General features: G+C 50.9%; 1 protein-coding gene and 1 pseudogene across 4 annotated transcripts in view, besides 3 other annotated features; both read right to left on the bottom strand.

Moving 5' to 3' along the window:
• JMJD4P1 (JMJD4 pseudogene 1) lies at window positions 4,852-6,044 on the bottom strand (annotated as a pseudogene).
• The window catches only part of EFCC1 (EF-hand and coiled-coil domain containing 1), a 39,439-nt gene continuing 30,997 nt past the window's right edge, over window positions 11,110-19,551 (bottom strand). For 3 of the 4 annotated variants that reach the window (NM_001377500.1, XM_011513161.3, XM_011513164.3), the window contains 5 exons: window positions 18,886-19,033; window positions 17,523-17,688; window positions 14,735-14,875; window positions 12,952-13,021; window positions 11,110-12,140 (listed from right to left, as the gene is read on the bottom strand). In NM_001377500.1, the coding sequence (NP_001364429.1) occupies window positions 12,004-12,140; window positions 12,952-13,021; window positions 14,735-14,875; window positions 17,523-17,688; window positions 18,886-19,033 (662 nt within the window). In that variant the 3' untranslated portion in view covers window positions 11,110-12,003. The remainder of the gene's footprint in view (window positions 12,141-12,951; window positions 13,022-14,734; window positions 14,876-17,522; window positions 17,689-18,885; window positions 19,034-19,551) is intronic. The other variant, NM_024768.3, reaches the window with a different exon arrangement.
• Window positions 11,759-12,732: an enhancer, noted in NCBI's record as "H3K4me1 hESC enhancer chr3:128757963-128758936 (GRCh37/hg19 assembly coordinates)". NCBI's record gives its function as "activates a minimal SCP1, AML or CMV promoter by ChIP-STARR-seq in primed H9 embryonic stem cells {active_cell/tissue: H9 hESC(primed)}" and the evidence as "EXISTENCE:reporter gene assay evidence [ECO:0000049][PMID:30033119]".
• Window positions 12,733-13,708: an enhancer, noted in NCBI's record as "H3K4me1 hESC enhancer chr3:128756987-128757962 (GRCh37/hg19 assembly coordinates)". NCBI's record gives its function as "activates a minimal SCP1, AML or CMV promoter by ChIP-STARR-seq in primed H9 embryonic stem cells {active_cell/tissue: H9 hESC(primed)}" and the evidence as "EXISTENCE:reporter gene assay evidence [ECO:0000049][PMID:30033119]".
• Window positions 17,766-18,320: an enhancer, noted in NCBI's record as "H3K4me1 hESC enhancer chr3:128752375-128752929 (GRCh37/hg19 assembly coordinates)". NCBI's record gives its function as "activates a minimal SCP1, AML or CMV promoter by ChIP-STARR-seq in naive H9 embryonic stem cells {active_cell/tissue: H9 hESC(naive)}" and the evidence as "EXISTENCE:reporter gene assay evidence [ECO:0000049][PMID:30033119]".

Genomic DNA, 19,551 nt, shown 5'->3' with positions numbered 1-19,551 from the left:
CATGGCTCACTGTAATCTTGAACTCCTGGGCTCACATGTAGGCTTCCCATCTTGAAGGAGGAGACTTTGTGCATATATCTTAACAGGAAATTTTCAAATTCAAGTAACTGCAAGGCTTCTATCAGAAAATAAAGCTCTAACCTTTACGGAGAGGCATCAATCAAGGGATTAATTAGTTACTAGTAACTAGTAGTCCCTAGGACCCTCAAGTTACAGGAACCTTTTTTTTTTTTTTTTTTTGAGGCAGAGTCTCACTCTGTCACCCAGGCTGGAGTGCAGTGGTGGGATTTTCGCTTACTGCAGCCTCTGTGTTCTGGGTTCAAGTGATTCTCATGCCTCAGCGTCTCAGCCAGCTGGGACTACAGGTGTGCACCATCACACCCAGCTAATTTTTGTAGTTTTAGTAGAGACAGGGTTTCGACATATTGGCCAGGCTGGTCTCGAACTCCTGGCCTCAAGTGATCTGTCTACCTTGGCCTCCTGAAGTGCTGGGATTATAGGCGTGAGCCACCGCTCCCAGCCAGGAACCTTTTAGGTCAGAGTCGTGGCTATTTCTTGGACCCAAATATCAGGGGAGGTTCTTTTTTTGGTGAAGCTTTCTCAGGAATTGTTGGCTTACTCTGTTTCTGGCCAAAGGAGACCCCATGTTTCCCATGGTTGCAGCTCCCTGGGTGCCACCGTTTTGCTCCCTCGAGACATCGTCTCAGACTTCAGCTCAGTGGACAAAGGCATACCTCCATCTTTCTATGAAATTGCACCCTCTTACCCCCTCTCTTTCCGTGGCCTCAGGGCTTGGCACTCAGTACAGGCCCTGCCTGCTGATCTTGGTGCAGCCTTGTCGAGTGGTTTCGAGTGTGGGCTTGGGTGACCCGGGCTGAGCTCTGAGTCCTGGCTCTGCTATTGTGCTGTGTGGCTGTGAGCACGAGTCCTCATCAGTGTCCCCAGCAGTAAAACGTGGATGTGGGAGAAGCCCCATGCCTGGTCTCTGTGAATCACAAATGTTGACGCTGCCTTTGGTCTCCTCATCTGGGTTTTCCTCCAGGGAAGCCCCCTGGTCCTCTGAGGCCCTCATGAACTCTGAGGCTCATGCTGAGCTGACAGCAGCAGGCCGGCTGTGGGCCAGGGCAGGGCATCAGGCAGGTGCTTAGGTCACACCCAACACCAAGGTGCTGAAATTACAGAAGTCTCAGCCTCTCCCCACTGGGCAAAAGGGAAGGCCATCCAGGCTGCAAACCAGTGACGTTCAGAGGGTCCAGGATGCCCCAACACTAGGCTGACTCTGTGCAGAGATAGCTAAGAGGCTGCCTCTATCCATTCTCTAGTTCTTTCTTTTTTTCTTTTTAAATAGGCTTTATTTTGGGTTCACAGCAAAAATTGAGTGGAAAGTCAGTTCCTATACACGCCCTGCCCCCCAACATGCACAGCCTTCCATATCAGTAACATCCCCAGTAGAGTGGGGCATATGTTATTACTGATGAAACTACAAGGACATGCCATTATTGCCCAATGTCCGTAGTTTCTGAGGGCCCACTCTTGGAGTCAGACATTCTATGGGTCGAGACAAATGTCTAATGACACATATCTACCATTATGGTATCATACAGAATAGTGTTGTTGCCCTGAAAAATCTTCTGGGCCCCCTTGTTCATCCTTCCCCATCTCCTAATCCCTGGCAACCACTGATCCTTTTACTGTCTCCATAGTTTTGCCTTTTCCAGAATGTCATACAGTTAGGATCATATAATATTTAGCCTTTAAAGATTAAATTCTTTCACTTAGTAATATGCATTTAAGGTTCCTACATGTCTTTTCATGGCTTGGTAGCTCATTTCTTTTTTTTTTTTTTTGAGATGGAGTTTTGCTCTGTCGCCCAGGCTGGTGTGAAGTGATGTGATCTTGGCTCACTGCAACCTCCACCTGCCCCTCCCCCTGCCCTGCTCTGAGTTCAAGCGATTCTCCTGCCTCAGCCTCCCGAGTAGCTGGGATTATAGGTCCCCACCACCATGCCTGGCTAATTTTTGTATTTTTAGTAGAGACGGGGTTTCACCATGTTGGCGAGGCTGGTCTCGAACTCCTGACCTCAGGTCATCCACTCGCCTCAGCCTCCCAAAGTGCTGAGATTATAGGCGTGAGCCACTGTGCCTGGCCTTGGGTTAATTTTTCCTAAGAGTGTAAGGTCTATATCTAAATTTTTTTTTCCATTTGGATGTCCAGTTGTTCTAGCATCATTCGTTGAAAATAATTTTTCTCCATTATATTTCCTTTGTTCCTTTGTAAAAACATCAGTTGACTATGGGTATACTTCTGGGCTCTCTATTCTGTTCCATTGATCTATTTGTCTGTTCTTTTACCAATACCACACTGTCTTGATTACTGTAGATTTAGCATAAGCTTTGAGGTTGGGTCATGTCAGTCCTCCAACTTTGTTCTCCTCCTTAAATATTGTGTTGGCTATTTTGGGTCTTTTGCTTCTCCATATAAACTTTAGAATCAGTTTGTTAATATCCACAAAGTAACTTGCTGGAATTTCGATCAGGATAGCATTTGGTCTGTAGATCAAGCTGGGAAGAACTGAGATCTTGACAATATTGAGTCTTCTTGCTCTTAAACACGGAATCTCTCTCCATCTATTTCGTTCTTTGATTTCTTTCATAACAGTTTTGTAGCTTTCCTCACATAGAGCTTATACATATATTTTAAAATATTTATACTTAAGTATTTTGTATTTGGGGGTGTTAATGTAAATGGTATTGTATTTTGAATTTCAAATTCCACTTGTTCATTGTTGGTATATAGAAAAGTGATTGGCTTGGTTGGGCGCAGTGGCTCACGCGTGTAATCCCAGCACTTTGGAAGGCCAAGGCGGGAGGATCATGAGGTCAGAAGATCGAGACCATCCTGGCTAACATCTCTATTAAAAATACAAAAAAAAAAAAATTAGCCGGGCGTGGTGATGGGCACCTGTAGTCCCAGTTACTTGGGAGGCTGAGGCAGGAGAATGGCATGAACCCGGGAGGCCGAGGTTGCAGTGAGCCAAGATCACACCACTGCACTCCAGCCTGGGTGACGGAGTGAGACTCCATCTCAAAAAAAAAAAAAAAAAAAAAAAAGGTGATTGGCTTTTGTGTATGAACCCTGTATCCTACAACTTTGGTATAGTTGCTAATTAGTTTCAGTAACATGTTGTCGATTCTTTTGGATTTTCTCCAACTTTGCTGATGATATGGTCATCTATGTAGAAAATCTTTATACCTTTTATTGCCTTTTCTTATCTTATTGCATTAGCTAGGACTTCCAGTATGATGCTGAAAAAGAAATGGTGAGAGAGGACATCCTTGCCTTGTCCCTGATCTTACTGAGAAAGCATCTAGTTCCTCACTATTCCATGTATTGTTAGCTGTGGGGTTTTTTTGTGGATGTTCTTTATGAAGTTGAGGAAGTTCCTCTATTTTCCTAGTTTGCTGGGAGTTTTTACCTTGAATGGATGTTGGATTTTGTCACGTGCTTTTTCTGCATCTATTGACATGATCATGCGATTTTTCTTCTTTAGCCTGTAGATGTGATGGGTTGCTTGATTTTCAAGTATTGGACAGTGCTGCATATCTGGGATAAATCTCACTTGGTCGTGGTGTTTACTTCTTTCTATACATTGTTGGATTTGAGTTGCTAATATTTTGTTGAGCATTTTGCATCTATATTCATGAGAGATGTTAGTCTAGTTTTTTTTTCCTGTGTACAGTCACTTTTCCAGGCACTTAGCATAATTCACTGAACAGAGCAGACAGAAATCCCTGTCTTCCTGGGGGCTTCCATCCCAGCTGGGAGCAGCCGGCCCCACTGGACATCACTGGGCAGGTGGGACACACAGCATGTGGCATGTGCTACTCCTTCAGATTTGAATGCATCCTCCTCTGCTGGGGTGGGGACTGCCACCCAGGGCCAGCTAAAAAAATGTGTGGACTTTGGGTGGAGAGGGTGGGGCTGGCAGAATCCCAGCCCCCACATCTTGTGAATCCAGGTAGAGGTAGAGGTCTGGGATATCCCCTGCAGGAGGGACGACTCACAGAGCTGTGGATGGGGCCACTTGAGAGCCCATGGCCCCACCACACATCCCAGTGCTGCTCGCCTGCCCATGCCTTGATGGGGTCCCAGGATGGGGCGTGGAGAGCAGCCGGGTGCACACCTCAGTCTTGCCCAGCATGCCATGGGACCAGAGACTTGAATCTGCAGTCCTGAGAACAGCATCCTTGGGAAGACTTGGCCACGCGGCAAACAAGGCCTCTCTGATGAGCCATAAAAGCCCTGCGGAAGCTGGGCAGGGGAGGACAGACTCGTGCGTTTCCTCCTCCCGCAGGGACTTATGCAGCACCTACTGTATGCAGTGAGTACAACAAACAGCAGGCATAGCCCCTCCACGCCCAGGCAGAGGATTCAGTGAGGAGAGGCCAGGAGGCAGAGGATGTGCCAGGCTTCCCTGCGGGCGGGGAGGTGGCAGTGGAGCAGGCTCTTTGCCAGCCCCTGCTCAGCGGCAGCAGGGCCCAGCCCTGTCGGGGACGATGGGGAACAAAGGCCCAGGCCGCTGGCTCTGCAGCCAACCGCCCGGAGGACCAGCCAGTCCACCCTTGCCTCAAGGTCCTGGCGGGCACGCCCAGTGCAGCACAGGCCGGCGTGGGTCCGCAGCACCGCGCCCAAGTCCTCCCTGAGCCCACGGGGCAGAGCTGGAGGTGACCGCCTGGGACAAAGGGACGAAGCTGGCCGCACAGAGGGGCCTCCAGAGCAGGCAACCCAGACACCCGTTGCTCAGATGTCCTGGCCTCACTGGAGAGGTGGGGGCTGCAGTCCACGGGGGTTGGAGGGCGGTTTTTCTTTCCGGAGGGGCCCCGGAGCGGGAGGCGGCCTCCCTTCCTCCCAGCGGTCGCTGCCGGTTCTCTGGAAGTCGCACTGCGAGAGCATGGAGGCCAACACCTACCTCCGCCGTGCCCCGACGACGAAGGCCATCTGCTCGGGCCCGGCCAGGCCTCATCCTCCCCCGCCGCCTCCCCCAGGACTAGGAGCTGCCTCTCAGTGAGAACCCTGGGGAAGTGGTAAAGCTCTTCCAAGCTGATGCCCGAGCAGGACCTCATGATGAGCGGCAGCGGCGGACCCAGAGCGAGTATGCCGGAGAAGGAGCGCGCGAGGGTGAAACAAAGGCCGGGGCCCCGGCGACGCCTCCTAGTGGAGGGACAGTCTGGAGGGGCGCTGCCCTCTTCCTGCGGAAGGGCCCATGGTCGAAGGCGGGCGCACACTCTAGCTCCAGGCCTGGGTGGCCGGGACGTACCTCGGCCTTAGCAGGTTGTGAACCCGGTGGTGCCCCACACTGGCATCAGCACCATCTCGCCCACCTTGCGCGTGAGCTCCAGGGCAGGCCGCGAGCTGGAGTCGCGGGTGCAGGCGCGTCGGGAGTGCCCGGGAGGTCCGGCCGTCGGGCAGGCAGCCGCGGGAGTCCCCAGGGCCTCCTCGCGCACCTGGGGACGAGGAGCCACTTCTCTTGTCCGCCGGCGCTGCGGGACCAGCTGCGGGACCAGCTGGAGGAGCGGAAGGCGTGGGCGCGGAACCAGGTCCAGCTGCCCGCAGGGCCAGCGCAGACCAGGCGAGGGGCGTCCACGTCCAGCGCGCCCTGGGCCGGGAGGCGCACGGCCGGGCGGACATGTCCCTTGCCGAGGGCCCCTGAACGGATGCCAGTCCCAGAGGTGGCGACCCCTTGGGGCAGTAGCCGCCCTGGATGTGCTCCTCTCAGCAGCCGCTGCAGTCTCTGAGGGGCACGTACTCTTGGGGTTCGGGTTGTATTCTTGGGGTTCGGGCTGTATTCCTGGACCCCGGCTCCCGGGTCCGCCGCAGTTGGTTCAAGTCGGGCGCCCCCTCCGGCGTCACCCAGCGCCGCCGCTGCCCCAGCCTCGGGTGCAGGCGCGGGAGCAGCGCAGGGCGGCTCGAGCAGCCGGAGGCCCTGCAGAAGTCGGCGCAGGAGAAGGCGCGAGGCTCCGGGATGTAGGCCACGCCCTGCCCGGTCGCCGCTCTCAGGCCTCCGAAGTGGTGCTCCGCGGGGGCGCGGCTCGGTCCATCAGATGTCCCGGGCGGGGGACCGGGACCGCGGGGACCTGCGGGGGGTCGAGGCCCGGCCCTTAGGGCCCAGGCCTGCTCCTCACTTCCGCCGGAGCAAATTGTAGTTTTTTTTTCTTGTAATGTCTTGTTGGGTTTTGGTATTGGGTCATGCTGGCCCCATAGAATGAGTTAGAAAGCATTCCCTCTGCTTCTATCTCTTGCAAGAGATTGTGGAGAATTAGTATAATTTATTCCTTAATGTTCACAGGTAGAATTCACCAGTGTACTCATCGGGGCCTGTTCTTCCTGTTTTGGAGGATTATTAATTATTAAAGTCTTTAATAGAGGCCTATTCAGATTATCTGTTTCTTCTTCTTCTTCTTTTTTTTTTTTTTTTTTCTTTTTGAGATGGAGTCTCGCTCTGTTGCCGAGGCTGGAGCGCAGTGGCGCGATCTCGGCTCACTGCAAGCTCCACCTCATGGGTTCACGCCATTCTCCTGCCTCAGCCTCCCGAGTAGCTGGGACTACAGGCGCACGCCACCATGCCCAGCTAATTTTATTTTATTTTTTTTAGTAGAGACGGGGTTTCACCGTGTTAGCCAGGATGGCCTCAATCTCCTGACCTCGTGATCCACCCACTTCGGCCTCCCAAAGTGCTGGGATTACAGGCGTGAGCCTCCGCGCCCAGCCTGTTTCTTCTTATATGAGTTTTGGCAGACTGTGTCTTTCAGGAAATTGATCTATTAAACATAGATTACCAAATTTGTGGCATAGATGCTTCATTGTATTCCTTTAATATCCTTTTGATGTCTGTGGGCTCTGTAGTGATGTTCCTCTTTCATTTCTGATATTAGCAATTTGTATCTTCTTTTTTTTCTTTAATTAGGTTGGCTAGAGGCTTATCAATTTTACTGATATTTTCCAAGAACTTGCTTTTGGTTTTGCTGATTTTCTCTCTGATTTTCTGTTTTTAATTTCATTGATTTCTGCTCTAATTTTTATTATTTCTTTTCTTCTGCTTACTTTGGAGTTAATTTGCCCTTCTTTTTATAGTTTAATGAGGTGGAAGGTTAGATTATTGATTTTAGATATTTTTTCTTTTCTAATATATGCATTCAGGGCTATAAATTTTCCTCTAAGCAGTGCTTTTGCTGCATTCCACAAATTTTGCTTCACTGTATTTTTATTTTTATTTTATTCACAGTATTTTTTGTGGCGGGGGTACAGAGTCTCACTCTGTGGCCCAGGCTGGAGTGCGGTGGTGTGATCTCTCCTCACTGCAACCTCCACCTCTGGGGTTCAAGTGATTCTCGTGCCTCAGCCTCCAGAGTAGCTGGGATTGCAATCATGCACCACTGCACTTGGCCAATTTTTGTATTTTTAGTAGACACTGGGTTTCACCATGTTGGCCAGGCTGGTCTGGAACTCCTGACCTCAGGTGATCCCCCGACCTTCACCTCCCAAAGTGCTGGGCCTATAGGCATGAGCCACCGCACCCAGCCTAGTTCACAGTATTTTAAAATTTCTCTTAAGAGTCCCTCTTTGACCCATTTGTTATTTGGAAGTGTGTTGTTTAACCTCCGAGAATTTTGGGATTTTCTAGCTATCTTTCTATTATTGATATCCAGTTTACTTCCATTGTCATCTGAGCCCATCGTATGATTTGTATTCTTTTAAATTTGTTAAAGCGTGTTTTATAGCCCAGAATGTGGTTTATCTTGGTGAAGGCTCTGTGTGAGCTTCAGGAGAATGTGTATTCTGCTGTTCTTGGGTATTCTATCCACGTCATTTAGATCCAGTTGACATATGGTGCTCTTAAGTTCAACTATGTCCTTACTGATTTTCTGCCTGCCGGATCTGGATCTGTCCCTTTCTGATAGAGGTTGTTGAAGTTTCCAACAAAAATAGTGAATTCATTTTTTTGGTAGTTCTATCAGTTTTTGCCTCACATATTTGCCACACTCTTATTAGGTGTATACCCATTAGGGATTATTATGTCTTTTTGGAGAATTGACTTGTTTATCATTAGTCTGCTCTGTCTGAAATTATTACAGCTACTTCAGCTTTCCTTTTTTTTTTTTTTTTTAAGACAAAGTCTCCCTCTGTCACCCAGCTTGGAGTGCAGCGATGCCATCTCAGCTCACTGCAAACTCTGCCTCCCAGGTTCAAGCAATCCTCCCACCTCAGCCCCCCAAGTAGCTGGGACTACAGGCGCACAACACCATGCTTGCTTAATTTTTGCATTTTTAGTAGAGACAGGGTTTCGCCATGTTGTCCAGGCTGGTCTCAAACTCCTGGCCTCAAGTGATCTGCCCGTCTTAGCCTCCCAAAGTGCTGGCAGTACAGGCGTGAGCCACCATGCCTGGCCAGCCCACTTTCGAATAATACTGTATTGCTTATGGGTAGTACAAATACCTTATAATGACAAAATATTCCTAGTTCTTCTCTCCTATCCCTTGTATCATTGCTGTCATCCCTTTCACTTGTATGTCAACTATAATAATTGCCTACACTGTTGCTATTAATATTTTTAACAAACTGTTGTCTTTTAGATCAAATAATAAGAAAAGTTAAAGTTTTTATTTTACCTTTATTTATTCCTTCTCTAAAGCTCTTCCTTTCTTTATATAGATCCAGATTTTGGACCTGTGTAATTTTCCTTCTCTCCAAAGGACTTCTTTTAACATTTCTTGCAAGCCAGGTGTACTGGCAACAAATTCCCTAAATTTCTGTTTGTCTGATGAAAGTCTTTATTCCTTCTTCACTTTCGAAATATAATTTCACAGGATACACAATTCTCGGTGTATTTTTTTTTCCTCTCTACACTTTAACTATTTCATTCCACTCTCTTCTTGTTTGCATGGCTTCTGAAAAGAAGGCTGATGTAAGTCTCACCTTTGTTCCTCTATAGGTTAGGTGTTATTTTTCCCTCTGGCTTCTTTCAAGGTGTGTTCTTTATCATTGATTTTCTGAAGTTAGAATGTACGATGCCTAGGTGTAGTTTTTTTTTTTCTTTTCTTTTTTGCATGTAACCTACTTGTGTTCTCTGAGCTTCCTGGATCTGTGTCTGACATTAATTCGGGGAAATTCTAAGTCATTATTACTTTAAACATGGTTTGTGTTCCTTTGTCTTTTTCTTCTCTTTCTGGTACTCTCACTGTGCATGTTATAGGTTTTGTAGATGTCCCGCAGTTCTTGGATATTCTGCTCTTTCCCCCACACTCCTCGGTCTTTTTTCCTCTTTGCTTCTCAGTTTTGGAAGTTTCTAGTGACATATTCTCAAGCGCAGAGATTCCTTCCTCAGCTGTGTCCTAGTTGCTAATGAGCCCATCAAAGGCATTCTTCATTTCTGTTACCGTGTTTTTCAGCTCTAGCATTTCTTTTTGATTCTTTCTTAGAATTTCCACCTCTCTGATTACATTACCCATCTGTTCTTACATTTGTCGACTTTTTTCCAAGAGAGCACTTGCATATGAATCACAGTTGTTTTAAATTCATAGCCTGATGATTCCAACATCCCTGCCATATAGCTGGGTCTGATTCTGATGCTTGCTCTGTTCTTCAAACTGTGCTTTTTGCCTTTTAGTCTGCCTTGCATTTTTTGCTAAAAGGCAGGCATGCTGCACCGGGTAAAAGGAACTTTTACCTTTTACCCATAGGTAAAGAGGCCTTTAGTGATGTGGTGGGAAGGTGTGGTGGGAAGGGATGTGTTCTATAGTCCTATGATTAGATCTCAGTCTTCTAGTGAGCCTGGGCCCTGGGCTGTGAACTTCTAAGGTTTTCTTTCTCTTAGGTGGGACAGGATGGCTGAAGGGAATGGAGTTGGGTATTTCTCTTCCCCCAGTTTGATTAGGCTCTAATAAAACCCTAGTGGGTTAGGCCCTGATAAAATAGTTTCTTTTGATGGTAGGCTTTGTTAAAAAGCACAGAATGTCCTGGCATATTTTTAAATGGTTACTTTCCCCTGTTCCTGCCAGAAGCACGAGGGGACTTTTTCTTCTATTTTCACCATGAGAACATAGTAAAACTCCTGGAGGTAAAACTCGCAAAAGTGTGAGAGTACCCCTGTGATGAGGTGCCCTGTGAGATAACATGGCGAAACTCTGTCTCTACTAAAAATGCAAAAATTAAGCAGGCATGGTGTTGTGCGCCTGTAGTCCCAGCTACTTGGGGGGCTGAGGTGGGAGGATCGCTTGAACCCGGGAGGCAGAGGTTGCAGTGAGCCAAGATGGCGCCATTGCACTCCAAGCTGGGCAACAGAGTGAGACTTTGTCTCACACATACACACAAAAAGAACAAAAAAGAAAGCTGAAGTAGCTGTAATAATTTCCGACAGAGCAGACTAATCATAAACAAGTCAATTCTCCAAAAAGACGTAATAATCCCTAATGTGTATACACCTAATAAGAGTGTGGCAAATATGTGAGGCAAAAACTGATAGAACTACCAAAAAATGACAAAGGAACCCATATGAGAGCTTTGAACTCTCATATACGTCCACAGTGAGTTTTAACCCATGTGTAGGTTCATGTAGCCACCACCATGATCAGGACACAGAACAGCTGGCCCTGTGACCGAGCTGGGACACATGGGAGCCTGCTTGGCCTGGGTCCCGTAGGCAGCACAGAGCCTGAGGTGCAGGGCTGGTGGACTCCGCGGAGATGCGAGGAGCAAGCTGGGCGCATCCCTGCCTGCTCAGACCACCTCCCCGGGGCCAGCTCTGCACATGGCCCCAGGGGTCCTGGGGCCGGTCCCATCTGGCTGGACCAGGGGTGGGCATGGCCTTTCTGTGGTGGCCACTGGCCTTGGTCTCTTTTATTCCATTTCCAGAGGAACCATCTGAAAGTTGCTGGGCCTGTGTTTCCCTGCTGAGGCGTTTGCAGTGGTTCCGTGAAACCCATAATCTTTGCGGCCCTCCCTCCACCTCCTCCTCTGCCCCTGCCCCTCCCCACCAAGGTTCAGAGCAGACTGGATTCCCCTGACTCCTGCAGTTTCCCCAGGCATCCCGAGGCTCGGAAAGACCCCTGGTGGTTGGGCTCTTACAAACTTTATTTTACCTCCATTTAGCACTGGTTTCACCCCCATGGCACTGTTTGGCAATGGATCTTTCTCTCTAATGACAGTCTAAGTTAGGTGAGACTGGGTATCTTGGCCTACTCCTTCCTGCAACCCCATGACGCAGTTCAGGAGGAGGGGCTCGCAGTTCAGGAGTTAATGCGTGTTCAGGAGCAGGGGCTCCAAGCACTGCATTCCTGGGGCCCCCCTCTGGTTCCACACCTTTGCTCTTGCCATTACCTTAGATTCTATGCCCTTCCCTCCTTTCTTTACCTGTCTAAATCCTACCTGTCCTCTAGAGCTGGTTCAAGGCCAGCTTCTACCAGGGAGCCTACAGTGATTGTTCCTTCCTTGGAATTCCCTCAGCCTTTCCTAGTCATCAACATTTCCTGGGGTGTGGAGTGCTTTCCTACAGACCAGGTATCCCAAAGGTTGGGCCCAGTCTCCGTTGCAGCAGGCATGCCAGTGGGAGGAAGGAGACAGTGCTGGGAGGGGAGGAGATCCTGAAACTCTGGGGAAGAGATTTGGGGTCAGACTCAGTCAGAAAGTGGGCATCTCTGCCCTGAGGGCAGGGGAAAGATACAGCATCAGGTGCAGGCTGATCCAGCAACTGCAGGGCTTTAATGTGGACTCTGGTGGCAGGAATGCAGGGGCTGCGAGGTAATGTGGAGGAGCCCGAGGAAGGGGTGGCTGCCAGGTGCTGCAATGGGAGGCTCTGGGCTCGGGCTTAACCTTGGAAGGAGCCAGCAGAGACTCAAGTTCTGATGATGTGACGGTGGTCAGACCAGCTGTCAGTGGTTGGGCTGATCATGGAGGCTGGTCCAAAGGCAGTCAGGCTGAGCAGGGTGCCCACAGGGTGGGCCAGTAACCTCAGCAGGAGACGAGGAGGGGGTTGGTGAGCGCAGCTGCTGCAGAGGCTGGTGCCGAGGGCTGTCTCCGCAACAGCTGGCAGGCAGCCAAGGCTTGGTGCAGGGCATCCAGGATGGCTGCAGGGCTGGGCCTTCCCTCTGGAGGGAAACAGCAGGCAGGGAGGGCAGGATCAGTCTGCTCACCTTCACCCACAGAGCCACTGTCCCTCCTTCCTGAGACCCAGCCACTCTTACCCGCTGTGCCCCTCCCCAGCCCTGCCCAGCTTCCTCGCTCTGTGGACCACCTCCCCCTGAGGACCCTGGAGAGGGGACTTGGAGCACACAATTTCTGATCTCCTCCATGAGGGCAGGGACTGCTCAGGGCAGTGGGTGCATCTGAGCTCTGCCCAGTGGTGCCTGGGGAGGACAGCGAGCAAAGGGCTCTTGGTTGCCTTGTCAGCCTGTGAAGACCCGTGAGGCAGGAGCTCGGCCTGGCTGCCCCAGGCATAAGCTGGCATTCCTGCTGTTCTGCTCCCTGAGCTTCGTCTAAACACCGGGTCCATGTTATTGAGTGCTTAAGGGAGATGCCCCAGCCTCGGGCGTGGCCAGCACTTGACCCCTGTGCCTCAGTCTCTTCCTCTGTGGAAAGGGGATAACAACTCATTCCTTCTAGGGCCATTGTAAGGATTCAGGGGTTTAAAAACCCTTGGGGCACCTCCCCCGCATGTGGCTGCAGTGCTGCCGGTGGCGCCCACCCATCCCCTCACTGGGCTTCTGTCTGGCACTTCTGCCTGGGGCTTCTGTGCCTCTGCTCTTGCTAAAAGCCCCTTCAGCTTTCTAAAGCATGCAGGGCAGGAATAACATGATTGTTTTGCAGACAAGATGCTAAGCATGAAGCACACTGGAGTCTCCTCCTCAGGACACCCTCCAGCCACTGCGTGGGCTCTGAGAGACTAGGGTGCTCTCCTACCGTGGGTGGGGTCCCTGAAAGCGTCCAGCGTGCTCAGCAAAATCTTCCCCAGGGCTCTTTTCGATATGTTCTTAAAAAGAAATGGAAACAAGGCTGGATTAGACTGGTTGCTGTGTCCCTGTTCAGCCGATGGGAACTGGTGGCCCCTACGGGCTTCTAGGCAGCTCCCTGGGGACAGATAAAGCTCCTCCCCCACCCTCATCGCTTCTTGGCCCCCTACCCCTAGGCTGGCCACACTGCACTTCCCAGAGACTCTTGGAGGGCGAGTGGGGCAGTGGGCAGGATCCATGCCATCAAAGATCACGTACCTAAGGATTACCATCTGTGCCCAGGTAGACACTGAGAAATAACCCTAAGAGCATTTTAATGCATTTGCTCATTTGATTTTTGCAACAACTTATTTTATTATGCCCATTTTAACCAGCAGAAAAAAGCAATGCTGGGAAAGAATGCGAAATTTGCCAAAGCCACCCAGCTGGGAGGTGGAGGGGCTGCATCATCTACCGTGAGGCTGCATGGCCTATGGCCTCTGCTGGGAACCACTGCCCTTGCCTGCCTGGGCTAGGATTGGCCTCTTGGGGCCCATCCCCAGGTCTCTGCTTGCCTAGGACGTGGACATTGGGCTGGACCTCGGCAGCTCTGGGTCCCAGGCAGCCCAATGCACAGGGCACAGCCCACTTCAGAGCCCCACAGACCTGGGTCTTGCTTTCTTTCTAGTCCTTATAGCCTTTCTCTTTCCTTTTGCTGCACTGGATGGAACCTCTGCTTCACATGAAAACAGTGATGACAGGCATTCTTGTCTTGAGTCTGATTTTAATTTTAATTTTTTTTTTTTTTGAGATAAGGTCTTACTCTGTCACCCAGGCTGGAGTGCAGTGGCACAATCTCAGCTCACTGCAACTTTTGCCTCCTGGACTTTGGCAATCCTCCCACCTCAGCCTCCCAAGTAGCTGGGACCACAGGCATACACCACCATGCCCAGCTAATTTTTTTTTTTTTTTTGTAGAGGTGGGGGTTTCACCATATTGGCCAGGCTGGTCTCGAACTCCTGAGCTCAAGCGATCCACCCACCTAGGCCTCCCAAAGTGCTGGGATTACAGGCATGCACCACCAGGCCCAGCCACATCTGATTTTAGGGGGATTCCTCTGAACACGTCACCAGTCAGTGTGAGATCTGCATGAAGTATTTGGTTGAGAGCCCTTATCTGGTGAAGGAAGATCCCTACTATTCTTAATTTGCTGAGGGGTTTTATAATCAAAGGAGATTGAATTTTATTGACTTCCTTTTCTGCATCAATTGAGATGATCATTTGGTCTTTCTCCTTTAATCTGCAATGTGGTGTATTTTGGTAATAGATTTTTTGATGTGGAATCATCCTTGAATTTGTAGGATAAGTCCAACTTGGTCATGTTGCATTTCTTTAAACACTGCCAGATTTGGTTTGCTAGTATTGTATTTAATAATTTTGCATCCATGTTTAAATGTCACATTAGTTTATAATTTTCCTTTCTTGTCTTTCTTCCATTTATCCTTTTCTGGTTTTGAGAACAGAACCAGAAAAGGATACATACAAGAGTTTTATTAGCTTCTTAAAATGACCTGGGGAGCCCCCCAACCCTATTTTTGGTTGGTTCTTCTGAGCCTCCATTTCTGCATCTGTAAAATGGGATAACAGCTGCCTACTGTAAGGAGAGCCTAGAGCCTGGTGCCTGACACAAGTGGGGCTCCCTCCCAAGAGCTCCTTTCCCTTCCCTGAGTGTGGCAGCTCTCCCGTGAGCCTACCAGGTCCCGGAGCCTCTGCAGGAGCTGCAGCACGTCCACCAGCTTCTCCTCCAGCAGGGACAGCCGCACCCTCTCGGTCTCTACCATCTGCAGCTCCAGCCTCAGGTGCTCATTCTCTTCCACCTTCTGCTGCAACTCTGCCTGGGAAGAGAAGGGGCTCAGTGCTCACTTTGCTGGCCTCTCCCAGCCTTCCAGGTGGCAGGATCAACTACTCCATCTCCCCGAGGCTGGTGCTGAGGCCCAGAGAAGCTGAGTGTGTGGCCTAAAGCCACACAGCGGGTTGGACTGATGTAAGAGTTGTATATTTTGTTTCCCACTCTAAGGACTCCATTCTCCCTTCTCTTCTCTGGTTTTGTTTCTTTCAAACAAATTAAGTTTAGTGGGAAGCTGCAGAAGCCAATCTGGCTAGCTTACACAGAGAGGAAATTTATGGCAGGCTAGTGGGCAGATCCCAGAATGGACTAGCAGCTGGAGAACCTCAGGAATGGGACAGGGTTGAGACAGTGGGAGTGTCCCAAGCCTCTTATCCAAGAGCCACAGCCGAGAAAGACCCTCTCCAGCCATCCCCATCCCCCAGCATGGAGAGCCCCAGGAGAGGGGCGTGGTTGGCCCAGTCGGAGTCTTGGGCCCACTCTTGGCCAGGGGGCCACCTAAACCGTCAGTTGTACCCAGTAACACTAGGATGCCAGGCAGTCACAAAGTGTTTTGTGGCCCCTGCCTTCTAAAGCAGGCATGCCAGGCACGAGGCATTCCCTTCCCCTGGCACCAATGGAGGGAAAGAGAAGCAGTGGAAAGTGTGGTGCCTGAGGGCACTCAGGGTCCACCCTGGGCTTGGGCAGGAAGAGGGAAGGCCCAGTGCCTCTGCTCTTTAGGGATGTGACTGGAAGGCCAGCTAATTTTAGGATCCTCCAAGCCCTGTTTCCTTTAAATATTCTTAGAAAAGGGGTGGCTATGCCCTTCAGAACTTTGTGACTGCCAGTTTATTTCCTGATGGCCCACAACACTCCACCCTCCCCAGCCACAGGGCTATGACTTTCCTGAGGGGTGCCTGGGCAGGCAAGATCAAGGCCTCCAGGAAACCAGAGCGGTGGTGGAGAAAATGTAGAAACAACTTTCAACTTAGGAGACCTGCACAACACAGAAGAGTGCTAGAAACAGGGACAGCCGTGGCGCATGTTTGCTGAGCACTCACCACAAGTGTTCACCTGTTTGATACATGTGTATAGTACCATTATTATGCCCATTTCACAGGTGAGGAAACCGAGGCACAGAAAAGTTGAGTAACTTTTCCAAGGTCACACAGGAAATGGAGTCAGGATTTGAATCCCGGCAGTCTGGCTTCAGCACATAACCGCCATGCCATGCTACTTGGTGTTAGCAGCCTTCTCTGGGGAGTAAGTGAGGGGTGGCCCTATCCCGGTGCAAGGGTTCCAGAAGCTGGAGGTGGTGCAGACCCGATCTCACTGGAAGGTTTAGCTGCAGCCACACTGGCTTGCCCTGTAATGACATTCAACTTTGTTTCCTTTTGCACATTTCAGCAGAATGTTTGCATAGTCCTGGTCTTTGTCCAATCTACTGCAGCGCTCCAGGGCCTGCTACCTTCTGTCTTGGTCTCTGATTTCATGCACTAAGAGGCTGGAGCCCAAACAGGCCCCTCTGCTCCCTCCTGCCCCCAGTGACTCAACCCCTGGCCTCAGGGTGGAGTGGTGTGGCTGCCTTGGTTCAAGGTGGGCACACTGGCGTGGATGCGGCATGGGCTCCCAGCCCAGCCCATTTGACCTCTCTCAAACTGTTTCCTACCTCATTGGGCCCTTTGAACATAAAATAAGACAGAGCACATCAGCACCGAGCGTGTGGTTCATGGGTTGTACAAGTCAGCTGGTATCATTTTTAAAAAGTTATTTAAGGAACTAGGACTTCATCAGGCCATATATAAGTAAAAAGCAGTACAGACTTAGAATTTCAGATGTATAAATATAAAACTATGTCAAAACCAGTTTGTAAAAGCACAGTGGGCTAGGGCTTAGTGAAATGACAACTTTCAACAGCATTGCACACTTGGCTACTGTGGAATAGAGACTTTCCTATGGAGTAGAGAGAATGAGAAATGCGAAGTGGTCGTATTGAAATGGAGACAGCTGGATGCTCGGCCCCCCTTTCCCTCTTCTTCCTACCACACTTCCTTTCTTTTGGGAAACTGCCCCTGCTCCACTTCATCTGACTTTGGTGGCAGTGCCAATCACTGAACCCGCCCCACCACCACAGGGATTGGCCCAGGGACGGGCACATGACTGAGGTGGCCAATCGGAGTTCCTCCCTGAGATTTCATGTACTAGGAATGAGACTCATTTTCCTGTGAGGGCTTCCCAGGTGGGCTGATGGAAGTCTAGGGCTGTTCATGGTCCTGTCTTCCCTTCCCCCATCATATGGAGTAAGCCCTTTTGAACTAGGGGAAAGTGAGGCCACCTCCTACAGAAAAACACAGCAGATAGATGGAGACAATCTGGTCTGAGTCCCTGGACCCAGCTGTGCCTGAAGCCCAGACCATCTTCTTCTCAGCTCCATGTTCCAATATCTGTTTTGCAATCAAGCTAATTTGAGGTGGGATCCTTTAATTTGCAACCAAAATATTTCTTATTAAATTTAAATCAGAGGAAATCACCTCCCTCTGGGCCTTGGTTTACTCATCTGGGAATGAGGCACAAGACTTGGCTGCAATCCCTCAGACCCTTCCAGCTGTGAGATCCTCTAGAATTGCTCCAGCCTTTGATCTCTAGGCTCTGCTGACCTCCTCCTCAGAGGTCCCCAGGGTCCTCCCACCGCAGCCCTGAGTCCTCAGCTGCTCCACCAGCATGGCAATGCAGGCCTCCAGCTCCCCCAGGGTATGGGCATGGTTGGCACCGCCGAAGTGACCAAAGTAAGTCATGAGCTTCTCCGCCGTCTGGTCATCACACCTGCAGCAAAGGAGAGGGCCCGCATTGCAGGGGGCTGCTTCCCAGAGCCCGCTCTGTCCAGCCTTGGAGAGGTGGTGGTGGTGTGGAGTTGGCCTCCTAAAGCAAAGCCAGGCCACGGCACCTGCCTGCCCAGTACCCTCCCATGGCCCCCATCTCACTCTGAGGAAAAGGCAAAGGCTTCACCTGATCTGCCCCATGAGCTCTCTGACCTTCCCTCCCACCCACCTGCACTCACACTGCTCCAGCCACAGTGGCCTCCTGGCGGTCCCGCCAACATGCCTCAGGGCCTCTGCACTTGCTCTTCCCTCTTCCTGGAATGCTCTTCCCCCAGCATCTGCATTGCTTATTCCCTCATTTCCTTCCCTGCATCTCCCTGCCCCGCCTCTGTCCCTGTCCCTGTGTGACCCCTCTTCCTCAGGCCTGTCACACTCACTAGAGGATCCAGAAGAAGAGGCCACTGTCTGGTTTACTGCGATTTTCCCTGTGCCTCAGATTTTGCCTGGCATGTAGTAGGTGCTTTATAAGTGCTTGTTGACATGAAGAATTGGTGGTAAAAACAACCCCAGAAAATCAACAGCATTTTACCATACATTAATAACTGTTGCCCCCACCGGCGTTCCCACCTACTGTGCACCAGGCACCTGTTAGGCATTGTATATCTTTGACCTCAAATCCTCACACAGCCTCTGCCACACAAGTGTCACCATCCCATCTTAGAGACAAGAAGACTGAGGTTCGGAGAAGCCAGGTGACTTGTCTGAGGTGTCCCAGGTGTCCTGGGCCTGTCCTCGGTCCCCATGGGGGTGGAGGTGAGGATGAAACAGGGAGCCAGCACCTGCCCGGGGCCAGGCTGGAGAGCTGTGGAAATGGTGTGTGGCGAGGGGTGATGGGTTGGGAAAGGGTCTGAGAGGAACACTGGTGTCTGGGAGTGCTACAAGAGCTCCAGTGCAGGTGCTGGTGAGAAAGCACGAATGGGAATTAAAGCCAGCCACGAGATGTGCCCTGGAAGGTCATCCCACTTCATCCTCTACATGCTGGTGGGCCTTCCCACCTCCCCCTGAGGGACAAGGGGACAGAGTCGCAGAGGGGCTGGGAGGTGGCTGAGCCAGGCTAACCAGCCTCCCAGGTGCTCCTGGCTTCCCCAGACACCTCTGGAGCCTGCGGCCCACAGTGGCTGACGCTGGACGGGCCACACACCTGCCTCTGCAGCTGGAGAGCCGGGCCAGCAGTGTCTTGGCCTCGGCTGCCGGCGTCTTCTTCTCCTCCTGCCACCTCTCCTCCTCCACCTCCTCCTCGTCAGAGGCGGCCTGGCCCTCCACGGAGCGGAACAGCTGCTCGTCCACTGCTGGGGAAGCACAGGATGTGGGGATGCAGGACAAAGGGTGGGGAACCAGGCATCCCTCCCCAGGGGGACATGTGCAGCGCAGCCCCAGGGGAGGGCTCTTGTGCCATGTCCCCTCTTGAGACAGCCACCCCCACATCCCAGGCTCCTGTGCAGTGAGGCCACCAAGGCTGGTTCTGTCTCCTTGTAATGTGACCAGCCCAGGAGTGAAGCTGGCCAGTCAGAGCCCCTTCCTGGGACTTTACACAGGGACATGGGGAGAAATGCTCTCTTTTTCTTCTCTTTCTTTTCTTTTTCTTTTTTTTTTTAGAGACAGGGTCTCGCTCTGTCACCCAAGCTGGAGTGCAGTGGTGTGATGATAGCTCACTGCAGCCTCAAACTCCTGGGCTCAAGTGATCCTCCTGTCTCAGCCTCCCAAAGTGTTGGGATTACAGGCATGAACCACCGTGCCTGGCTTCTTCCCTGTTTTCTAAGATGACACAAGCCAGGCCCTGTTTGTGGTCTCAGAGGTAAGTGTTATT

The sequence above is a fragment of the Homo sapiens genome, chromosome 3 (genome assembly GCF_000001405.40).
Source record: "Homo sapiens chromosome 3, GRCh38.p14 Primary Assembly".
Classification (NCBI taxonomy): domain Eukaryota; kingdom Metazoa; phylum Chordata; class Mammalia; order Primates; family Hominidae; genus Homo; species Homo sapiens.
The sequence above is the reverse complement of the archived record's forward strand: the minus strand, read 5'-3'. Positions and strand labels throughout refer to the sequence as shown.